This window comes from Homo sapiens, chromosome 1, assembly GCF_000001405.40.
Source record: "Homo sapiens chromosome 1, GRCh38.p14 Primary Assembly".
Classification (NCBI taxonomy): Eukaryota; Metazoa; Chordata; class Mammalia; order Primates; family Hominidae; genus Homo; species Homo sapiens.
In genome coordinates this window covers 185,975,076-186,000,311 of record NC_000001.11, presented here as the reverse complement: position 1 = coordinate 186,000,311, position 25,236 = coordinate 185,975,076, and the positions used below count along the sequence as shown (strand labels likewise).

Here is a 25,236-nt window from a genome sequence, read left to right as displayed (position 1 = left end):
GAGAGAATAATTTAAACATTTAAGAACTGGAGACTGGCAAACAGTCAGTTACATGATTTTAGCTACATTTACCATGGACTTTGAGGTTATATTTTCTTTCTGTGGTTCCAGCTTCATTGACTGCCACACAGATGTACTCCCCATTGTCATAGGGTGTAACAGAAGCAATAACCAGCAATGTGCCATCTTCCAAGATAGAAATGCCAGGCTCTCTGCCTGTCAACTCTCTACCATTGTGTAACCATTTGATGGTTGGTTTAGGGGTACCTAAATAAGAAATTAAAGTCTTGTGATATTTTACAACAAAAACAGAAATTATTAAATATCAAATATATCAAAGAGAAATAAAGTTTTTGTTATGACAATAATTTATAACCTTAGGTCCTATGCTACCTTCAAGATATTTCTCCTGGCATGGAAATATGAAGATTATGTTAGTTAATGCCTCTAAATCCCGGTGGGTCTTAAGAGACCTATGGTAAAGTTTGAACAAAGTTGTTTTTATCTAAACATTCAGATGATAGTAAGTAAAGCATTTTCCTAGTGAGTTCACAGTGATTTGTTGGCAGGGCAGGAACTATATTAATCCTACGGACTGGATGTGGGGAGAGTTTTAGGGTGAAATAAAGACAGAGCAAAAATAAGACACCATCACAGAAATACAACATGAAGACTGCCAACCAAATAGAGTGTATATATGATATGGAGACACGATGTTTTATAATTCCCTTTTTTAAAAAGGCCTGATATTGCAAAGATGAGGAAACTCTACTGTTCATGCATCTTTTGGAGATCTGATTCTGTTAAACAAAGGATAATAGCTCAATTCTTGAAATGGTAGTTGAGAAATAGCTTTCCTGGATTCATTTATGACTAACAGAATGAATGGAAATGATGTACTCTTGGAGAAAAAAAATGATACAACAATCTTTGAGTGTATAATAGAATCAAAAGGAATATTGGAAATAAGTAAACATTAAATCTATACTAACAATGTATTTATTTAGCAAACATTTTGCCAGGTATTATTCTAAGCATTTAAAAAAATTATTTAATCTCCATAATAATAATAAAAAACATTAAATAAAAATTACATGATTACATAAGACATTGTTAATAATCCTGTATTAAATGACAGTAAAATATTAAAAGATGAACATATAACCCAGGATATATATATATAAAAGAATAGCAGAAATATGTAGAATATGTCATTGAAGCTACACTTAAATTGAGTTAAAGGCTTAAACAGTGACTATGAAAGTTATATTTATGGAAAAAAATTAAAGATTGACCTATTTAATTGTGCTCATAGTATAATGTTGACTGATGAGAACAAAAAGGTTAAACTGATAGACTCCAGTTGCCTGTCCATGTTGTCAAGAAAAAAGGAGGCTGTAATCATCTCCTTACATCTCAGTCATTCCTTTATGAACTTTAATCAGACTACTTAATTAATACTTGTTAATAAAAATGTAAATGAACAAACAAAAGAAAGAAATTGCATTGTCTTTAATTTTTAAATGATAGAACAACCATGAGCAAGATGAAAATCATAGTAAAAGATAATGAAAACGATGTCTAGTAACTTTAAATGAATTCAAGCATTATATTCCAGGTGAAAATGAGGAAGTAAGGAAGAGATGTTTTTCTAGGTGGAAAAGGGAAGTCAAAACAAGAAATTAGCTTGGGAGTCAGGAATCCAGTGGGGAACAAGAAGCAACACTGCCACCAGCGGGTCCAGTGGGAGTGAACACTCATGGTACTTCCCTGAGCTTAAACCCTTCTAAAGAAGGCCTCCTTCCAGGCTTCACCTCCCTAATTCTCAGTGACTCTTGGAATAGTTATTGTTAATTCTTTAGGTATCTGAAAAGCTTGTTAAAGACATTTTTGTTTTAATATAGGTAGAAAATAAAGTAATCATGGCAGCTGCTGCTGAGATTGAAAAGCTTGCCACAGAAACAGAGACAGCCATGAGGGCCTTCAGTTGCCGCTGCCCAGGAACAACTACTAAAAGGCACATGTGGGGGCACAAATGGTACCAGCCACCTGGAGGCATTCAGGAGGTTATGGAAAGACTACTGCTTGGACTTTGCCAGAACTCATACAAACCTGCTTTAAATCACTGCTGATGAATACACACTTGAAAGAGAGGATGTTCTTAATTACCTACTTGGCAGAGTTAGGGTGAAAGTGACAGTCCTTTTCACATTCCCCTGAGGAGAAATAATATCAATCTCCTGGCAGAAAACATGGTAGGATAGAAAGCCCAGAAATTCAAGGAAAGGAAGGGCTTGAATAAACCTCCAAGTGACAATTTACAAGCTGGCCCTAGAATTACCAGTTGAGAGTAGATTTAGGAAAAGAGGTTTTTAGAAGTGTCCAGAACAAACAAAGGAATAGTCCTAATTATACCTCTGCCTGGTTGAGATAAATATGGAATATTTTGAATAGCTCCAGCTATCACATTGTAAAGACAAAACCTGCCAAAAAAAAAAAAAGAATGAAATAAGAAGTAGCAGGAAGGATCTGAACTGGAAAACATGTGAGACTAGGCAAGTTTGAAAGAATGGAAAGTCTTTACATTGAAAGAAATAAAATACCTGCAAGGAAAAAAAATACTTATTCAAAGAGCTGTTATCTGAAAAATGGGTTAGTTTCTATTATGCTCAAATGTTCTACCAAGGATTGATGTGGAATTTTATAAGGATGACAATTTGGGTTCAATATAGCATTCTGAAACCATATAACATTATGCCAATGCCTATATCTTTCAGTATTACGTACCTTTTGCAGGACATGGAAATTCAATGCGTTGATTGGCCACTCTTTCTTGGAAAGTAGTGTTATATGGAGGTTCTAGATCTTCCACTGTGGGTGGTTCTATTAGGAAAATAAATGCATTATCACAGGCTTTCTTTGAGCAATTTCAAACTCTCCTAAGGCACAATTAACTACCTGCACTGATGAGTTGCTATCTCTGCTGATTCTTCTTTTAAATATGATTCCTATTTCCAGTTGCCAAACATTTCTACCTAGACGTCACCCAGTGCCTTAAACTCAAAATTCTCCAAACAAAATTCATTATTTTATGCTTCCCACAATCCTGTTCTGTTCCCTTATTCCCTCAATGAAGGCACTATGGTCCACCCAGTCATTTTTCTTTCTCCCTTAAGCTTGACCTCCATATCCAATCACATAGTACCACATATATTCACATATCTGTGTCTTCCTCTCTATGCTTAAGACCATTGCTTATTTCCAACCCTTATTTCCTCTTACCAGGCTATTCCAATAGACTTCTTATGGGGATCCTTTTCTCAAACATGTTCCCCTTTAGATTGATATTCTGCACAGTTCCCAGAATACTCTCTCTGAAACACAAATCTCATCATTGACTTATCTAATTCAAATCATTACTTGTACTCATTTTGTCTATAAGATAAAGTTTCAGACCTGTTCTTTCCTAAGTGCCCCCTGTCAGTGCATCCCATGTCTCTGAACAGCTCCATCATCCATTCATTTCATGAAGAAATTTGGGAGTTATTCTTGAGAACTCTATCTCCTTCACTCTCATATCCAATCCGTCACCATGTCCCGAGTATTTCCTTTCCTATTTATTTTTTAGCCCATTCCCTTCTTTTCCCCATTCTAACTACCATCATCTTTTACCTGGGCTACTACAATAGTCTATACCAGTTTCCCTTGTCTTCTCTAGCCGAATGATTCCCTCCCAAAAGAGTGACTTTTAAAACTGGAAATCTGCCACATCACTTTCCCAACGATAACTTCTTAAAGTCTTCTTATTGCATTTAGAATAAAGTCTAACTTCATTAGTCTGGCTTCCTAGGTCTTGGATAACCTGACCCATGACCACATCTCCAGCTTCATCACATATTACTCAGCCCTCAGTCTGGAATGCAGCCAGCTGGCCTTCACTGATTGATGACTGATCCCAGTGTCTCCAAAATATTACATGCTCTTCTCTTCATATTCTATGTCCTTCTCCTGGAAAGTTCTCTCCACATTATCTTGGAAGGGCTGCCCCTCACTTCTACCTACCCTTCAAATCTCAACTGACATGTCCCTACCCCAAGGGAGGCCTTGTTTGATTTGTCTTTCTGTTAAAAGCTCATATAGAGTTTTCCACCATTTCATGAGGGCATAACCAATGTCTAATTACATAGTCATGAGACTATTTCATGAATTATTATCTGTCCCATTCAACTATAAACATGAATATGTAATAAAGTTTGTGGAATGAACAGGAAAACTTCTTCATTAGTGTCCTAGCCAACCATCCAACAAAACTACAATGGGCCAGGTACCTTAGTACTGTACTAATACTTAGAACAGTAGTAGTACTAATTAATACTAATACTCAGTACAGCGCTAAGAACTATCTAATACTGTGCTAAATACCATACCTGCTTATCTTTTCTTCTTGTCTTTGTACTAGTATTCCCTCTGACAAGAATGCTCTTCCCCCTGATTTTCATGTGGCCGGTTCTTTCCAGTCCAGAGGATCTCACTCTAAAGATCACCTTCTCAGAGAAGTCCTGCTTGATAGTCTAATCTAACATAGGCAACTCTCAGGACCATTGTCTTATTTTAATTTCCCACAAAGCACTTTTCACAATCGTATTTCTTGTTTATTTGTTTGCCTGTTTTCTGTCTACTCACACTATAACAGCTCATGAAAGCAGGGGTTTTGCCTTTGTCACTACTTTCTCATCACCGCCTAAACATGACAGATGCCTGGCAAGAGCTCGATCAGTATTTGTTGCTTGAAGAAATAAACATTGATCTTTAAATCTTCAAAGCAAATACAGTATTAATAGAGAAGTAGTGGACCTAGATTTCCTAGGGCTCTATTTTGAGTGCACCCCAGCACTGTGAGGTGACAACCTACTCCAACTCACTCTTCCCACAATGTCTCCCAAACCAAAAATAGTGGGTGGGGCATCATCTAGGATTGTTTCTGTTTTCTACATGATCCATGGCAACTTTGCTTCAAAAGTAAACATACAAAAATTGATGCAGGTTTAGAAATGGTATGTTTCATTTCTTTTGGGAATGGTTCTTTCAAAGTTAAAGAGTCACAAAAGTTATATAGAACTCTTTCTGAAGTCATTTAAGATTATCGAAGATAATCTATTTAGCTCTAGGGCTTTTCTCTCACTCCCCACCCTACATACATATATTTTCCTGTGTCAAGAATCACCTTGGACATGTAGCGTTATCTCTGTTTCATCAGTGCCTGCTATGTTAGTAGCAACACATGTATATATGCCAGCATCTGAGGGCGTGGCTTGGTCGATGCTTAAAGTTCCGTCTGGATTGCTAACATGGTGCTCTCCATCAACCAGCATAGTGCTTCCACCTTTGGACCAGGTGATTACAGGAAGAGGAGTCCCTTGAGCATTACATGGAATATCCACTCTTTGACCAACTTGGACTTTGAGATGTTTAGGTCCACGCTGTATCTTTGGAGGAACTAGAAATAATAACTGGGTATTAATAATCCAACTTTCACAAATTCCTTTCTTTACTCACTTTAAACGAGAGCTCCTTATCAACAGGCAGCCATGGAAAAGTGAAATAATTTCAGAATTTGGACCTAGGCTCGGATCATTCACTAGCTAGGTGATCTAGGACAAGTCAGTAAACTTCCTGAGGCCTGTTTCCTTGATAATCCAGGGAAAATAGCCTGTAATGCCAGTACACTGCAAGGATTACAGGAAATAATAAATATAAAACTCTTAGTTCCAAACTTGAGGAACAGAAAGCATTTTAAAATATTAGGCTTCTTTTAATTTGTAAATAATTTTAGCTTAAAAACTCCCTTAAAAGGCAATGCAGATAATTTCTATAATATAAGGGACAAAAAGCATTTCTCTCCATGTACTCAGTTTCTGTTCTCTTTGTAGAAGGATCAGTGAAACAATAAGAAAAGTTTCTCATGAAATCTTTTGCTAATTTCAGATGAGAAAACCACAAAGAGCCTCTATCTCTTCCTTTTATCGACTTCCTTCAGAAATTTAAATGCAGTAGTTTATCAAAACACCAGCAAATGATTCCTGATTTCCACATACTTGCATTGTGCACTGTAGAATCAAGTTGAGCCACAAGGACATAATTATAATTAATGTACCATACATCCTTAAAAAGCACAATTTCTATGTTTTTTTCTTTAACTTAATATTTAATGAACACTTTCTAAAGGTTGTCACTAACAACCTTATATAGTTTATGATAATATTATCATCATTTTATGAAAGGGAAAACTAAAAATAAGAAAGGTTAGTGAATATGCCTGATGCCCTAGAGCTAGTAAATGACAGAACTCTGGTGTGACTTCACACCACATAATCAATGGGGACACAATTGTGGTGATTCATCTGAGAGTGAAATCAGATCAATCCTATCTCAGCTAATTTCTTCTGATATTTGAATATCTTTCATCTAAACAATGCCTGGTGTAGAGTATGCACTCAGTGTGTTGAATGAATGAAGAACTGGATGGACTATGTGGATTGGAGGAATAAAGCAAACTAACTAGGGAGCTGTAGTCAAAGAGTCCTAGGAAACAATTTTTTCAGTTGCTGAGATCTTTAAATATTGAAAATTATCATTTAAATACTAATAAATTATTATTTGAAATTTGTATTAGCTTCTATAAAATGCTACCGGCTTAAACACATTTTTTTCTACTGTATATCAACAATAATAGCAATAAGTGACTGTTGACCAGTAGAAAAATTGAGATCCAAAAATTTAACATAGTTTATTTGATAAAGGAAGAAACAGAAGATTGTTTATAAATAGCAGGAAGACTTTTCAGAGTAAACAAAAGAAAATCACAAGTCTCAGATTTTAGAGAATTTTTTTCTTTAATCACTCTATATACAATTTGGAAATTAACTATCAAATAAACTAGGATTACGGGTTTTTGTGTGGCCAGTCCACAGGGTTGTCATATGTTCTCATTTCAAGACTCACCATGGACATTTAATTTGACAGCCTGAGTCACATTCCCAGCAATATTTGTGGCAACACAAAGATACATCCCACTATCTGAAGTGCGGGTTTCAGTGATCTTCATTGAACCAGAAGGGAGGAATGTGTGTCTAAAAGAAAGAAACCATATAGTAGACCATGGAAGAGGAGAATTTAAATATCCCCTATGCAGCTACACTTCAGTATGAAATTACTACTCTGCAAGTAGTTTTTTAAACCATTTTCCCATCTGCAATGTACATCTATACATCTTAAAAGCCAGGACTTTTCATAATTATCTTGTGTATGATTTTCCTGCAAACATAAAACAGTTTTATTTTACTTTTAAATCTTAATGGTCTGAAATTCCCAAATAATTGTGCTTCTTTCTGCTCTATAAAGCAAATGTATATTTGAGTTAACTTTGTATTTATTTTGAACGTTTTATTATTATTTTCTACAATGTTAAAGTAAAGGAAAAAGAAGACATACATGTTCTCAAAAATAGTTGAATACATTCCTCCTATTGAGTAATAATGCAGCTGGGTGAGCCAGACCTACATATAAAAATGTTATTGCATTGTGTTAAAATAGTTTTAAAGGATAGGGGAGGCTAGGTAGACCTACCTAGTACCAAGATTTCTTATACAGCTAAGTCAAATGCAGAGTGCTCTTGGCCCAGAGACATGCAAATGAATAAATAGTTAAGGACAGAGTCCTCCAGAAAGACCTAAGCATATTTGAAAACTCAACATGTAATATGTAACATCAGAGGTGATATTACAAAAAGTAAGGAAAGTATTGACTATTCAAAGTGATGTCGGGCAACTGGCTCTCCAAATGGAAAAATAAAGATATAAAATTAGAGCACTACCTGATATTATTTACAAAATTTAAAATTCAGATAGATTGAAGTCCAAAATGTGAAAAAGAAAACTTAAAATATTAGAATTAAACATTGAAGGTTATGTTTATAATTTTCTTCATGTTAAGATACAAAAAGTGCACATCTGAAAAAGAACAGATTAATACACTGTGCTCCTTAAAAACTGAAACCTTCTGTACAACAAAAGACACCACACATAAACTTGACACCACAGAAATAGACTGAGAGAAGATATTTTCAACACATATAAAAGACAAAAGATTATTATCAAAAATAAAGACCAAATTTCTACATTCAATAAGAGAAAGACAAGTCACCAGAAAACTGTGCAACAGATTTACAGGTTATTCACCAATACCACAAATGGCCAACAAACACGTAAAAGTGTTCTCAGTTCACTTGAAGTTAATCACATGAAAATTAAAACAATTACAAGATACCATTTTACACCCAACAATTGGCAAAAATTCCTCAGTCAGTCAATACCATGCACTAATTAGAACATGGAAACAGGTACACTTATATTCTGTTGGTGGATGGACAACCAATACTGTCCCTTTGGAAAGCAATTTAGCAATGCCTATAAAGCTGGAAGCAGGAGTTTGCTTTGACCAGGAATTGTAGCTCTGTATATAGGTCCTAAAGAAAGTCATGCATGAGTATACAAAGAGAAATATACAAAGCTATTCACTGAAAAGCCTTGTTTTTTTTTTTAAAAAAAAGAATAAACAAACCAGAATGTCCATAAATAAAGGAATGAAAAAATAAAATGTAGAATATGCATGTAGCAGTTAAAATGAATAAATGGAATCCCTTTGTATAATAGTAGATAAATGTTGACTTAATAAGGCAAGTAACAAAATAATAATATACCATTTGTTACAATGGCAAATTGAAAACAGACACACAAAACAAAATTGAAAACACAGAAAACAGTAATCTACATTGTTTAAGGATGTATGTGTAGAATGCATACCAAGCTTGTGGCAGCGTTTGCCCCTGGGAAGAGGGAGGAGAAACTGCGACTGTGGAAGGGAACAATAAAACTTTCTGATCTGTATTACTGTAATTTTTTACTAAAAAACATTCAAAACAAATATTTTTTTCAAACAAATAGTAAAATTATATAAAGTCCTTCTTAATTTTTTTCCTTCACTGGCAGTAGGGAAATGACACTAGCATGAATTTATATCTTCATAATTATATATCAATGATTCTAACAGAAAGTTAATTATAGTCTAGTGACTAATTCTTATTTCACCAGTAACTTTTGCCTTGATGTTGGGTTAAAATAGTAACCAAGAACTAGAGACAGTGAATGTGAAATGTACATTATCTTACATAATTCTCTCAGGTAAGTATCATCCCCATTTTATAAATAGGAAATATGAGGTTCAGAGAGACCCCTTAAAAATTGCCAAAGGTTTCAGGCAAAGTTTAAGTGTAAGAGAGAAATTTAAACTTATAGCTGGTTGGCAACAAAGGTTGTGCTTTTAAAGCTCCAGCATTCTTCTTGTTATGTCACTCAGCCTATCAAATACAGTATGTTGTCTCAATGTGCTCATATTTGTATAAGGGTTTAAGCAAGAAGACTTACAAAATCATCCAATGAAAGCCAAATCCTAGACATTAGAGTGTGCCTATTGTATTTTATTGCTCTTATGGGATTAATGGAATTCTATGTGTGCTTACACATTGGGCTAACAGGAATCTCATACAATTCTGCTCCATTTTAATAACTACCTTATAAAATGCACCAGGGAAAAATTATGGCAAAGCTGAATGTTAGCATTTCTGACATTAAAGATGTCAGAAGCATGATTCAGTGTTATAAATACTTCCTGTAGACTCAGATGTACATGTGAATTATCTCAATTTTAAAGGTGATTTTTTGAGACGTTTGATAACCTGAATAGGCATGGCCATCTGTCCCAAGAGGTTGATTATGTTTTCATGTGTTGCAATTCATCCCAGATCTCCTACCTTGGAGAGAACGGTGAGATGAGCTGGGTTTCTTTGGCCCAAGTAATTATGGGTGGAGGTAAGCTCTTCACTTCACATGGAAGTGTTACCTCTTCCCCTGCAAGGACGGAGATCTCAACAGGCTTATCCTGGGACAGTCCTCGTTGATCTCCAAACACTCTGGGCCTTACTAAAATAAACACATGTTTTGGAAGGGAAACAGTATATTGAAAACAAAGCACAGTTTAATTTACACTAAAATGTGGACTACTAATGTTCTTAAGTAATTTATAAAAAGATGCTATTCAGGACATAAGCTAAAACTTTCCATTAATACATTTATTGTGAGAACTAAAAGAGAAATGACGAAAAACTTTCTCTAGTCAGTAATTCCTTTTAGAACACAATGAAGAGATCAGCTGCAATGCCCTCTCAGAGTCTAACATCTGTAAAAGTAAACCCTCAAGGCAGACTCCTACCCAAGACATAGCTGAGGTTTGGCTTTGCTAGGAGTGTTAACTAACTGGTGTTACTGAAGAGGGTTGGGTGCAATAAGCATACTTCTTGGGAAAACACCATAAAATTTTTCCGAAAGACTATACAATTGCATTCCTTAAAATCAGAATCTAAGTAGAAGTGATTTTGGTTGGCAGTAAAAAATGCATTTCTGTAAAAAAAAAAAAAAAAAAAAATAGAAATCTGGGGGAGCAGTTCACTTTAGGGGTACATGCATCTGGTAACAGTATTGGGGAAAGAACTGTGAGTTTTGGCACAGATAGACAATGTCAATAAAAACCATTCCTCCACCAGCTCTCACCATAGACTGTTAGCTGCACTTTCCTTTTGGCGTAGCCGGCTGTATTGGTGGCAGTGCAGACATACTCCCCACTCTCCTCTCCTCCAGGTGATACCACATACAGACTACCATCAGCTCCTGCTGAAAACTTAGCACTGCTGGTTGAAATCAGCTCTCCTTTCTGCAAAACACGGCGAAAAGCAAAGGGTTTTTTGTTTGTTTGTTTGTTTCAAGATTATAAAAGAGTGACAATGTCTGGAAGAGGAATAGAGAGAAAAAAACATCTCCAAGAGGGGAATAGAGTAAATTTTAAAATGCTAACTTGAAAAAAGTTATTTATGAGAAAAATTAGACAAATAAAAGTACTAAAATTGGGCCAGGTGCGGTGGCTCACACCTGTAATCCCAACACTTTGGGAGGCCAAGGCGGGCAGATCACAAGGTCAGGAGATCGAGACCACGGTGAAACCCCGTCCCTACTAAAAACACAAAAAATTAGCCGGGCGAGGTGGCAGGCACCTGTAGTCCCAGCTACTCGGGAGGCTGAGGCAGGAGAATGGCGTGAACCCGGGAGGTGGAACTTGCAGTGAGCCAAGATCGTGCCACTGCACTCCAGCCTGTGTGACAGAGCGAGACTCCATCTCAAAAAAAAAAAAAAAAAAAAGTACTAAAAGTGATATTTCTCCATACCATATCATGTCATTTTCATTCCAGAGCTACTTAAGAAGGCAGAGAACAGCAATGATAAGGATGGTACAGTGAATGCTTATGCTATGCCAGACTCTGTTTCGAGCACTTTACCTGAATTAACAATTTTAACACTCACATCAATCTTATGAGTAGCAACTACCACAACCCTCATTTTGCAGTTTAGAGTATCAAAGCATGGGAGAGGGGAGTAGAGTAATTTGCCCAAGATCACAAAGCCCATCAGTGGTAGAGCTGGGGTTGAAATCCAGCAGCGAGGCTCTAGAGCCCAAGTTCTTAACTACTCTGTGCTTGGCCACAGCACAAAGATCAACCTGGAAATATTTCACTTTTACATTTTCCTTAAAATGCATTAAACTTCTACTCAGTGCTAGTTACTGCGCAGTTCAGGGATCAGCTTCACTTCTGTGACTTTTCTGTCCAGAATAATTTTTTTAAAAAGCTAACTTTTTAATTTATTTACAAATGTCAACACCAACTTCTCCATATTTCAGAGATTTTTAGATAGATAAAACTAGATGGTATGGCAAAACACTAGTAGTGCTAATTATACAAATGCCATACTTCATTAGCATGTCATTACTTTGTATTTGCTGGGTTCAAATTCATTTACAGAAAATGTGCCATCTTTGTGGCTGTTCAAGGGTGAAAGGACTTCCTCAGGAAATGGGCTTTTCTTTACTGCAAGAATACAAGTAAAAGCTGAACAACATGACAGGGACATAGAGGGGAATAAATTAGTTTGTGTAAGTGTCTTACAATTTTTAGTCATACATAGAATTTGTGACTATACCACAGAACTTTATAAACAGGAAAATCCATGCAGTCATATCATTTAGAAGGAACCTTAAAAGGCCTTTAGTGAAATCACCTACTTGAGACTTGAATGGTATTAGCAACATTACAGTGAACACGTCCGTAGCATAACCTGTGTGCCGGGAACTTTTCTAAGCACTTTACATCTCATAGCAGTTCCTTTTTTACCCCGTGCCACATCCCTAAGCCCTCTTCCCTCTTAATTTCAGCGCAGGTCTACTGGTCAGTTCCACATGCGCCACCAGGGTCATCCTTCTTGCACTTAAGTTTTTTGTTTTTTTTTTTTTGGACCAGGGCTTTATCCAAAGCCCCAGAAGGCCACAGCCAGCAAGTGCAGCAGTGTAAGCTTCTCTGGGGAGTGGAGGAAATATGTCATGTATAAATACCCAACTTCCTGTCCCTCCGAGGGAGCCTTCTGAGGTGCATCTATATGGTTTCTTGGAGGGTTCCTAGCACATCTGTCCAGCCACATAGGAAATCCTTTATTAACTTATCTTCTTTCCATGCCCCACTCCTGAGCCTCCTGCTCAAGACTAGGGATAACTTGCAGGTGAACTTCACACTCTGCTCTTCAGGAAATATAACTAGATGTATCATTTACCTTGGACCAGATGACAGACGGTTTGGGATTTCCACTTGCTTTGCATGGTAAAGTTACTGGAATGCCTTCAATTGTACTGAGTATCTGCTGCCCATGCTGAATGGTTGGCAGAACTGAAAAGGTAAGTAGGATTTGGAATCTGAGCACCTGTTCTTCCATTTAAAATCATCTATTTAAAGTTGAACATTTTCATTACAACATCAATGTTTGTAAAAATGAGCAATTATTTAACATTTTCTGATAAAAATGTAGGATAATCTCTGTAAAGGAGTGTGCTAAACAAAGACAATAAAGTAGTTATGATCTGAAAAATGAAATAAAAACTTAAAATCAAGTAGTAAGTTATGTCTAATAAGCTGACTTTCCTAACAAAAATAAGAGAGGACTGAAGAAAATTCTTTTTTTTTTTTTGCTGGAAACCCAAGACAGAATTGCACTCTAAGAGCTACACATTTAATGCATGTCTCCAATCACTGTCCTTTATTCATTAAGCTGCAATAAGCTGACATAAGCCTACATACAGAGAAATGGGCTGTTTAACCACTACATATTAAATATCTATCTATACTCAGGAATCACTTAGTGAGTTACTACATTTAACCTAGATAAAAAGTTTTGTTTTGTTAAGAAGAATTCATTGGTAAAACTCAAATCTTAAGAGTTTTTTTATTTTATTTAATTTATTTAATTAATTAATTAATTTTTTTTTTTTTTTTTTGAGACAGGGTCTTGCTGTGTTACCCAGGCTGGTCTTGAACTCCTAGGCTCACGCAATCCTCCTGCCACAGCCTCCCAAAGTGCTGGGATTACAGGCATAAGCCACCACGCCCAGCCAAGTCTTTTACATTTAAAAGACTAAAAGGATTCTAAGTCAATATTTTTCAGTAAGAAGAATAACACCTTTGACTTTAGAAAGCAACTGAAGAATTAACATGAGTAGAAGCAAAAGGAAAAGGAAGGTTAATCCCTCCATTCTGTGTAAATCATAATCAGAACCAACTCTCACAAACAGAAATCATCAATACTCGATGTTCTCAAAATAGTGGTGATTTTGATTAAAGAAGCTTGCATATATGAAAGTTCCTAACATAGTGAGAAGAAGACAATAAAAGCCCAATCTATAACAGGCGTTTCCTTTCCATCCTCTGGAAAGATGAGACTGGAACTGCTCCCGGGAGCTCAATCACTCATCATTTCTCTTCCTTAAAATCAGATTTTTCAAGGATTATCATAACTACTCTGGAGAAGTTTTTTAGAACTAGAGACACCAGAAACCTCAGTGCAAAAAAATCCCTTGGAAGGCTTAGATTAGATATGCTACATACTCATATTTTCCTATGGCTGGGTTCACTCTTTAGATAATTTATTCTTAAAGAATTGCCAGCAAATCCCCAGCCCTAAACAACAATGCCAGGCTACTCTCTAAAGCAAGAAAATTAATTTTCAGAATCATCATGGAATATTCATCTTTCAACTATGCTGTCAATTTGTGGCAACATGGAATAAGCCATTTTGATACAAACATACTGAGTTTGACAGCAATAAAGAAAAGTGGCAAATTTAGGCAACAGTTTTGAAATCTAATGACATTTGGGTGTGGAAGAGAAGTTTCTTTTCAGATTGTCAATCTATATAAACCAATATGACAATTAAACTGTTTTGTCATTTTAATTTACACTTATACTTGTATTCATTCATTATTTTAAGAATTGGATTGACAGCCTTTAATGAGTATTCTTAAAAATGGAGACACAGAATGATGAAGGAACAGCACTGCTAATTAACATAAATACAGAGGTATAGAGAGCTGCTAGGCTGCATCACATCCATCTGCTAAATGTCTGCAAGATTTAGTTAATGCCAAATGGCTGCACTAATTTTTTAACTCCATTGACTAAATTAGTTACTCATTTTGGACTAAAATGGACAAATGAATTTTGTGAAATGATCTCTTAATTTTTAATATTAAAACTTCTTGCATCACAATACACCATATCATTCGTTTGTCTGTATCCTCGCCCCTCTGATAGGAAAGACATCCTAATTAATCCTGTCATTTTTTTCACCCAAGTGAAAATTCAGCCTCAGAATCCTATCCAACACAATATTCTAGGCAGTCACTAGAAGTCAAAGAGAGATAACATGAGGGCACTCCCACACTAGATTCTTAAACTAGTCTATAAGCACTGTTCAAGAAATCTATGGTCTGGTCTTCTTGAAAAATAGTTACACAACCATATCCAATCTGTCAGTATGCATTTATTCCTCTAGGTTATAACTAATTTAGTGTTGCTTTAGTATTTCTTCAAAATAATATTTCTCCAAGAATATCTAAGGTGATGTGGTGGATACTTAACGTAAAACTGAGAAAGGTGGAAGAGGCTGTTTAAGAGAAGCAGACATAACAAAAGAAAATGGTCTGCATTCAGTGATATTGTCAATAGACCAAACAAAATTGGAAAACTACTGGACTCTCCAATTCACACTCTAAATAAAGAATAAATCAACTACTAAAAATAAGTATTTTGTAGTACTTTCTTCCCTCAGATATTCAGCTCTGAACACAAAGCTATTTTTAATGCAATGGTTTTTTTTGTTTTTTTTAAAAAAGCAATGTTGCAGAGTCTTTAAAAAGTATATTAAAAAGTTATGACAATTTCTTAATCTATGAAGCTGTCAATTATTGAGATGTAAAAAGCTGGTTACTGTTAGTCACGAATGGAAAAAAGATTGCTTCTGGATCTTCTTATTTGTGACCTTTAAGTTATTTAACATGCAAGAAGATTGTTTGGAGCACATGAGGTGACCTTTAGAAAAGCTTAGGTCATTTCTAGCTCAAGCACAAAGGGGTCATTAGTAAGGACATGCTGGTTGCACAATCCAAAAAGAAAAGGCAATCTGGAGGGTATAATGAGTTCAGCTTGTCTGAAATTAAAATGTATTTTTAAACATAATTCTTTGAGAGCCAAGGTCACTTTTAACAATTAAGAAACCACTTACAAAACCCCTTGGCCAGACTCAGCTGGTGACTCCCAAGAATGTCTTTTTGTGTACATAAAAAAGGGAAATCTGGAAACAACATTAACAATGTAGATATTGTTCAAGAAATAGGAAATAACAATTAAGAGAGATATCTAATTGTAATTAGAGGAACAGAGTTATTTGATTAAAATATAAGAACAACTACTTTGAACACAGTTTCGAAACAATAACATTGGGTGTGTCTCTTACCATGCACAACCACAGAGGTAGTTTTGTTATTGGTCCCAGCAACGTTACTGGCCACACAAGTATATTCACCACCATCCTGAAGCTGAACTCTTTCAATATGGAGGCTCCCATCACTGCGCACAGTGATGTAAGGATTTTGGAGCAACTTAAAGGAAAAAAAAAGGTAATTTTTATTTAAAAAGAAAGGATTTGTGAGAGTCAAAAATGAACCTGCTTTTTCTTTTTTTCCCAACTGGGTTACTAAAAGTCTATAAACAAAATATTCTAATGTCCTTAAGTGAAGAACGATGAGCATAAATGTTACCAAGAGTGTGATTGTACAATTTAATCCTGATATACCTCCAAATATTATACCTATTAATATTTATCAGAGAGTTAAGCACAAGCTAAAAAAAGAAAGATATAGACATCACTTGTTTAATGTTCCTGTAAATTTTGTCATCACTCAAAACCCAAATTTCACTATAATATTTACTTTTGGCTTAAAGTGTTCTTTTCCAAGAAGGCCTTATTACCACTAGCAAGCCATTTGATATTTTTATTTTGGCACATAGGCACTTACTCATGCCAAGGGAGAAGGACTTAACCTCAACACCCACCCTTGTTAGGTAACAGATGCAAATATTAGTGGACAATATGTGACATCTGAATTGTGTCAGGGAGGGCTGGTAATATTTTCAGTTAAGAATGATCACCTCTAAATCTGTATCATCCATCCACACTGCATATAAGATACTTGTGTGCTCAAATACTATCATTCTGCAAGGACATTTATTTTTAAGTGAGGTTTGCTAATTTTTCCTCAGGATTTTATGCAAATATGAAATTTTACATTTTCTTAGATGGAGTCAATTCACTTTTTTTTAATTTTTATTTTTTATTTTTTTTGAGACGGAGTCTTGCTCTGTCACCCAGGCTGGAGTGCAGTGGCACGATCTCGGCTCACTGCAACCTCCGCCTCCTGGGTTCAGCATATTCACTTCTAATCAGTACTTCAAGAAGAGAGTGAGTCTCAACATTCTGGAAAATGGAAAGAAAAATGCTCTGAGCCAGAAGAAAATGTATTGCCATAGATAGCTTATTTACAGAAAAAATTTCATAGAACTGTAAACATTTTTCACATCCTTTCATAAAAAAAATTTTACACCGAAAAACAATGACAATATATATCTACATTTTTATATAGTTCATAATGAGAGATATGTTTAAAGTTAATAATAATAAAGATTGATATATAAAATGGAAGAATTTTATGGGAATATTAACGTTTAACAATGTACTACAAAGAAGAGCACAAAAATATTTAAGTACTATGAAAATAACAATATTTGCTTCAGTTCTTCTATATTCTGAAAAAAGTTCACTAGTGACACTGAATTTAATATAAAATTATGAAAATTACAACACTATTTCTCCATTTTATTAATGCCAAAATAATATGAATAACAAAAATATGTCAATAATAAAGAAAAGCTTTGATATACTTATAAAAACATATTTTTGTATATTTATTAAATCGATACTTTTGGTGATTGGAATACATTACTTCTTACTCAAGAAAATTAGGAATGTGGGCCAGGTGTGGTGGTTCACACCTGTAATCCCAGCACTTTGAGAGGCCGAGGTGGATGGATCACTTGAGGTCAGGAGTTTGAGACCAGCCTGGCAAACGTGGTGAAACCCCATCTCTGCTAAAAAATACAAAAATTAGCTGGGCATGGTGGCGGTCACCTGTAATCCTGCTACTCTGGAGGCTGAGGCATGAGAATCCCTTCAACCCAGGAGGCAGAGGTTGCGGTGAGCCTAGATCCCACCACTGCACTCCAGCCTAGGTGACAGAATGAAACTGTCTCAAAGAAAAAAAAAAAAAAAGAAAAGAAAACTCACAAAAGAATGTGAATGCATGCATTTAAAATGTTCTTACCATAGCTGAATTCTTAATCCACCGACGTTCTGGAATGGGATTTCCAGCTAACAGAGTACAGGGCAAAGTAAGCTGCTGTCCTTCAATAACATTGGCCACTGAAGGGCTGATTCCAATAAGTGGAGCAACTAAATCAAGAGAGAGCACAGGCACTTTCAACTCTATTTCACCCAAAAGAAAGGTAAGCCACTTCACAGGCCCCAAAGACTGTTAGTTATGCTATAAAAGTTTGAGTTTTCAGAAACAAAATATTTACATGAAAATGGGTATGATTTTGAAAGTAAAAATTAAAGTCTCCTTCTAAGTAGGGGGAATGCAAAAGGACAGGTAATACATTACTGCAGTAGTAAAGAAGGTAAAAAAGAATGCTTATGGCATGGAAGGCCTGAAATGTCAAGCCAAGATATTTGCAATGTATTCAGTAGACAAATGGAGAGTAACTGAAAGCATTTATAAGTGGAAAAGTGGAATCATCAGGATCATTTTCTGGGGAAATATTAATCTGAAAACTGTAAGTACACTGGAAGAAATGGGATCAATAAGGATGCTGTTGTAATATCTCAAGCAAATAATATGAGGTTGACTCTCTTAGATGGAATGGTAAAGGAGTATTGTAAATATGCCCTTCTCTAAAAATTAATGAATAAATTTAACATAAAGTAAAATCCCTAAGAGATTTTACTTGGAAAACGTGTATGTAGACTAATGAAGACATATTTTAAAAACTGTGTAAAAGGGTATTAATGAGAAACATGTACTGACAGATATAAAAATCATATTAAATGCTATAATAATTTAAGCAACGTAGTACTATTTCAGAAATAGAATTCTAAGGAATAGACATGGGGACATAAACTTACTACATGATCAAATGGGTATTTTAGTCAGTGGGAAGAGAATATTCAATAATAGATATTGCATCAAATGTCTTACTTGGAAATAAATGATATTATATTTTTACCTATCATACACAAAAATAATTCCATGTTGACTAAAATAACAAATGTAAAAAAGGAATCAGAAAAGACCACAACTCTAATATGTGTGTGTGTGTGTGTGTGTGCATGTGTGTATTCATATTTAGATTTGAAATAATTTATTTAAATTGCCCTTCATTTTGGAGCAGATAATCTCTAAGGTTATTTCCAGGACTAACATTCTAAGAAATATGAAGTGTGGCAGGGAAGGGAAGGCTGGTCTAGTAATTAGTCATTTATCTTTTGTTTTTTTTTAAGTGGCACAGGCAAGAGATGACATAGTAAAAGAAGTCTGATGACTTTGAAGACCATGGTATGTAGACATTCAATTGATCTTACCAAGTCCGGTCACTGTTACTGTTGTCTCTGACTGGATCTTTCCAAACTGGTTTTCAGCTTCACAAATATAGGTTCCTTTATCACTTGCCCATAAGTCTAAAAGGAAGAACTCATTTACTCATCCAATACCATCTATGGAGAATTAACTATGTGCCAGAAACAGTGCTGAGATCTGTGCATGGAAAGTGTGCACTGCCTTCTGGTTGAAGAAGGGACATACACAGAAACCAGCCATCACACCACAGTGAAATAAGTGCTAACAAAGAGTTCCAGACAGTGAGCTCTGGAAGCAGAGACAGAAGTGACTGCATGAAAGGCAATTGGAGAAGGATTCACACTGAGGTAATATCTGAGTGAGTAGAATAGAGGACGGGCAGTCCAGTTCTAATCGGTTACAAAGGCAAGAGCATGACTAGAAAAATCATGGCCTGTACAAAGAATGGAAAGCTGCACCATCAATGGTGGTGCTCTGCACCACCACCCTGTTAGAAGTTTGCAGGGGAGATTTTTTAGTTGATGCAATGACTGGAGAAGTCTGCTGGCATTCAGTGGGTAAAAACTAGAGAGGTGAAACATGGGCCAGATTCGCAAAGAAACAATTATCCCAAGTCCAGCACGACTTTGAAGCTCCCACTGAAATGTGTGTATTTCATAACTTTGTTTGTAACTACATGAGTCTGCAACCTAATTCTGTATGTGCAGAAGAAAGACAGAACTTTAGTAATAATTGCACATCATCTTAGAAAATCACTTCACCAGCTTGGAGTTTTTGAGTCATCAATCCTATACTCCTGCATGAGTCTGCATTTGAGCTATTGAATTCATAATGATGCCACATAAATGTATCTTCATATTCTGTAGACAATGCCAGAGTATTTACGTATTGAAATATGCATTATTTTAGTATAAATTACTTTCCCTCATTTTTCATTTGTATGTGTTAGACATTAAAATAATTTTTATTATGTAGTTAGATCAAATATATAGAATTTTTCAAGATAATAAAATGATATTACAAAATATTTGTAATTAAAGAGGGTATTGGAGCCATGAGGATGGGGACTACTGAGTTATAGGTTGCGTGGGGATAGTCAGGAGACTGAAGTTGAAGAGGTGGGCTGGTACATTCTCAAGAGTATGGTTTTGTCTTGTGAGCAATCAGGAAGGAAGGAGAGGATTTTAAATAGGGGAATGGGTATAATCTTGTAAATATATGAACCAAAATGAGCAGTTTAATCTATTGATAAGATTTGAACAGAGAAAAGTGCAGCTTTCCAGCATCCATAGTCCCATACTATCTCAGATAAAGAACCATGACAAAGTTTCTACTCCTCTGCTAACCATATGCATCTAATTGTAGAACTGCATCTGGTAAATTAAGGTAGCATCTACTCTAAATAGCAAACATTCATTTGGAAATAAAAATTCAGCAAACCACCCCATTAATAAATCATACATTAGTTCTAACTGGGATATTTTTCATATTACGAATTCTTGGGCTAATTTGTGTAGAAATACAACATACCATGAGAACCAAGTTTCTAATTACTAATTTCCTTCCAGACAATTTAATTTCGACAATTAGGCAACTGTTGCTCAAGATATTGAGCTCTTTTATTCTTCCTTTTCTTTTGTCTCCTTTAATCAATTTGTTTTCAGGTCTCACTTTTTATCAACATCTGGGTTGTTTCTCATCATCACTCTTTGAGCTTTTCAATGTTCCCTTTCTCTCATCTCTCTTCCTATCTTGTAGCGGTGTTGTTCTGAAACAGTACTTTCATGTACCTTTTCCTGCCTATCAAACTTGGAATGGGGCTCTCTAACTTCTAGCTCATCAAATCCATTTTTTCACCTGGACATTCAAGTCATGCACAATCTGACCCAATCTGATGTGTACTTCCCAGTAGCTCCTTTCATGGGCATCCACTCAGAGAATGGACTGCAAACTACCTGAGTGAGGGACCCTATATCTGAATCTGTCCACCACAGAGCTCACCACAGAGCTGAACACTGAAGCACTTGTTATTAGACAATTTAATTTATATCTGGAAGTTTAAGTGGCCAATGTATATTTAATATTGTTAATAAACTTGGGCCAGACATGGTGGTTCACGACAGCAATCCCAGTACTTTGGGAAGACGATGTGGGTGGATCATTTGAGGTCAAGAATTCGAGACCAGCCTGGCCAACATGGTAAAACCCTATCTCTACCAAAAATACAAAAATTAGCTGGGTATGGTGGTTCACACCTGTAATCCCAGCTACTCAGGAGGCTGAAGCAGGACAATTGCTTGAACCTGTGAGGTGGAGTTTGCAGTGAGCCAAGTTCATGCCACTGCACTCCAGCCTGGGCAACAGAATGAGAACCCGTACCCACCCAAAATATAAAAATAAAAATAATTAAAATAATTAACTTAGCAGTAACTGATTAAAAGCTTTCTATAAAATACCCCAAACATCCCATTATTTTTAAAAATGCAATTAATTATCTAAATGCTTTTCCTCCTCTGGTAACACCATGCAATTATTCTTAGCATTATTTGAAAAAATAGAAGGTGCTTCCAAATATCTGAATACTGAATAGCTTATAAAATTTTTAGATAAGAAAGTATTTGACTTTTGTGGGGGTGGCAGGGATCTTTTGCTTCAGGTGGATACAGCTTTTAATAAAGGAGATTCCAAGGCATCCCTATGTTGTTATGTACTGTTTGACAAAATAAATAAAGTTAACTAATAGTAATATTTTATCTTTCTATACAACAATTGTTACAAGAATCAAGGTAATGTGACCACTTATCTATGTAAAGGCTCAGATGACTCTATTTGCAATAAGAAATGGTAAGATATGAAGAAGTCATATTGTTTCATAAGCCCTTATGATAAATTAATGACATACATTTGAATAAAATATAACTCATTTATGACAATTCCCGAATATAAAATGCCAGTACTATTTCAAAGTAAAATGCAATGAACATAAAATGTGTTGGCAAGATTAATATACTATTTTAAATAGCAATACCTATGTATAAAACATAAATATATAACATAAAAGTACATATTCGTACAAAATATATTTCCTTCAACCTACTTAAAATAAAGAGAGCTCCTGTTCTTAGTTGGCTGATGGAACTAACTGAAAAAGGTCTTGAGAAAATTGGCATGTTGTCTAATCTTCGCCATTTGATTGTTGGTTCTGGATAACCCTGAACATAACAAGGTAATGTCACATTTGAGCCAATTTCCATAGACACATCAGCAGGTTCTTGTATGAAAACTGGAGGTGCTGGAAGACATTACAAACAACAAATAAGTCATCGGTATATTATACAGGCATATTAAACATAAACTTAAATATTAAACTGTCAAATCATTGAATTTGAATTATTGTTCATATTATATTGTAAATTTACCCTGTTGATATTCCTCTCTTAGGTAAAAACAGTGGGTGTTTCTTTTTTGCTTTATAAATGAAGAGAGACACTTAGAAGCCCAACCATTTCCTTAAGGTGATAGATGATAAAAAGCATGGGACTTCAAATTATAATAACCTTAAATAAAGAGAATCTTTCACTCTAAAAATTTGTTTTCAATTTCAGTTTATGTCAAATTGCTCAAACTTTAAGACTATCTTATAAATAAGTTGGCTTTATAATAAGATATTTTTGACACTTTCCGTAACTTACTCCTTTGGTTGAATTTTTAAATTAATTTATACCAGAGTTCATTATTCTATAATCACTATATAACAAGCTAACACTATTTACTCCTAAATTATATCCTTGTTCAATATCATATTCTTGCTTCTCATACCTTTCACATTTTTGAATTAGAGAAATTTAAATATTAGAATAAATAATACGAATCAAAGTAACAGAATGTAGTATTTGATAAAAAGAGAATAGGAAGAGTTTAATATCTTAGTCAGAATTAAGAAATGATTCAGAAACTATAAAAATTATAGATAAGAGGCTACAGATATCCACGTAATTCAGGTAACCACAGAGATCAGGGAGGAAGACATAGAAATACATCAGAGGCACATCTTGGAAAACATAGGAATCCTGTTTAGGGAGGATACTGTCAGCAAGTTCAAATAGATGAGGCTCTCAATACATCCTGGAAACTTATGGGTGATGAGACACCAGGCAAGGAGAAATATACAGGGTACTTTTGGAGGCAATGGATGAAACCTGCTCATATAGGATTCTAAGAGGTGTACCCTAGGGAAGGCTCCTTGATAAAGTCAAGGTTAAATCTTGGTTAGAAATGATAATTACCACTTACAGAGTCAGAGGTTGTGTTAAGTGCTGTCCATTATTACCTCATTTAATCTTCACAATATCTCTATGGGGTAGGTATTGTTATTACTCTGATTTTATAGATGAAGAAACTGAAACACAGATAGTTAATTTGCTAAGTGTCACATGGAGTTGAATTATGGAAGCAGGCTTAAAAGCCAAGTCAGTTCAACTTTGGAGTCACCATTCTTTGTGATTATATTAACTTCCCCTTTTCTATGGGTTCTCACAACTGCTCATAGTCACACTAGTTAGCAGGCTCATAAATATTCCTACAGAGATCACTTTTCTTCCCATGGGAATTCTGGAGTTGATGTACAGTTGTCTCTCAAGCAGCATTAATGCTTTTTTAGCATAGGTTAAAGAACCTCCTCCAACTTTGCAGCCTCATCTCCTATTATTTCCCTTTATAAATGTTACTACCTGGGCAATCAACATCCCTTGTTCTTCTCCAAGCAAGGACTGACCTTTCTCATATCAGTACCTTGTTATTACCATCTCCCACAAATGTAATGTCTGTTATTGATCTCTGGCTGTTGAAATATTGGCAATCTTTAATCTGGTTTAAAAGGCCCCTCCTCTATGATGCCATCTCTTACCAGTTGAGATGAGCATGATTTCTTCCCTCTCTAAAGTTTCAGAAAACTCACTCTCTACCATTCTCATAGCAATCACCACATTCAACCTGTTGTTAGACTACATTTGTTTTTTATTTCCTAGAGAGTTTATATTTGTAACCATATTTTTATCTTTTACAGCAGCTAACATAGTACTTTGGGCATTATTCATGGCCACTGGATATTTGTCAATGAATTTTTGAAATCAGTATGACAACACTTCAGTAATAACACAGTGTGTGTGTGCGTGTGTGTGTGTGTGTGTGTCTGGTGCATAAGTGTGTACAGCAACCTTCACCCAGTACATTGAACTTTCACGTGGCAATTTCAGAGCCCTCTTATTTATTTATTGAACCTAAACAAAATTAAATTAGGTTAAATACCACAATTGAACAATATATTTTTATAAATAAATCGTGTATCAGTGTTTAGATTTTTCTTAATCCATCTATATGGAAATTTGACTTATAAAAATAATAGGCAAAATAAACATATTTTAAACATATTTAAACATAGTTAATAGAATAGCTCATAGCTTGCTTATTCTAAGTGATACGGTTTGGATCTGTGTCCCTGCCCAAATCTCATGTTGAATCGTAATCCCCAATTTTGGAGGAGGGGCCTGGTGGGAGGTGATTGGATCATAGGGGCAGATTGCCCCCTTGCTGTTCTCGGGATAGTGAGTGAATTCTCATGAGATCTGGTGATTTAAAAGTGTGTATCACCTCCCCCTTTGCTCTCTTCCTTCTGCTCTGGCCATGTAAGATGTGCCTGCTTCCCTTTTGCCTTCTGCCATGATTATAAGTTTCCTGAGTCCTCCCTAGCCATGCTTTCTGTAGAGCCTGCAGAACGGTGAGCCAATTAAACCTCTTTTCTTCACAAATTACCCAGTCTTTGGAATTTCTTTATAGCAATGTGAGAACGGACGAATACACGAAGTCTCTAAGACCTAGTTACTTTTCTCTGGATAAACGGAAATCATTTATTCTAAAGCAGATGGCTGTTCTGAAAAATGGAAGTTAAGTTTAAAAGTTTCTGGATATGTTAGCCTCAGAGTATGGGCAGGTAAATGCGGTGAT

At 35.5% G+C, this 25,236-nt stretch overlaps 1 protein-coding gene across 6 annotated transcripts in view; it reads right to left on the bottom strand.

Moving 5' to 3' along the window:
- HMCN1 (hemicentin 1) overlaps positions 1 to 25,236 on the bottom strand; it is a 456,559-nt gene that overhangs the window by 190,638 nt on the left and 240,685 nt on the right. For 5 of the 6 annotated variants that reach the window (NM_031935.3, XM_011510038.4, XM_024450118.2 and 2 more), the window contains 11 exons: positions 22,331 to 22,525; positions 19,239 to 19,334; positions 17,923 to 18,050; positions 15,999 to 16,143; positions 12,768 to 12,880; positions 10,665 to 10,824; positions 9,869 to 10,037; positions 7,003 to 7,130; positions 5,225 to 5,497; positions 2,788 to 2,883; positions 73 to 267 (listed from right to left, as the gene is read on the bottom strand). In NM_031935.3, coding sequence (NP_114141.2) covers positions 73 to 267; positions 2,788 to 2,883; positions 5,225 to 5,497; positions 7,003 to 7,130; positions 9,869 to 10,037; positions 10,665 to 10,824; positions 12,768 to 12,880; positions 15,999 to 16,143; positions 17,923 to 18,050; positions 19,239 to 19,334; positions 22,331 to 22,525 — 1,698 coding nt within the window. Of the gene's footprint in view, positions 1 to 72; positions 268 to 2,787; positions 2,884 to 3,282; positions 5,201 to 5,224; positions 5,498 to 7,002; positions 7,131 to 9,868; positions 10,038 to 10,664; positions 10,825 to 12,767; positions 12,881 to 15,998; positions 16,144 to 17,922; positions 18,051 to 19,238; positions 19,335 to 22,330; positions 22,526 to 25,236 lie in introns of those variants that run through there. The other variant, XM_047431608.1, reaches the window with a different exon arrangement.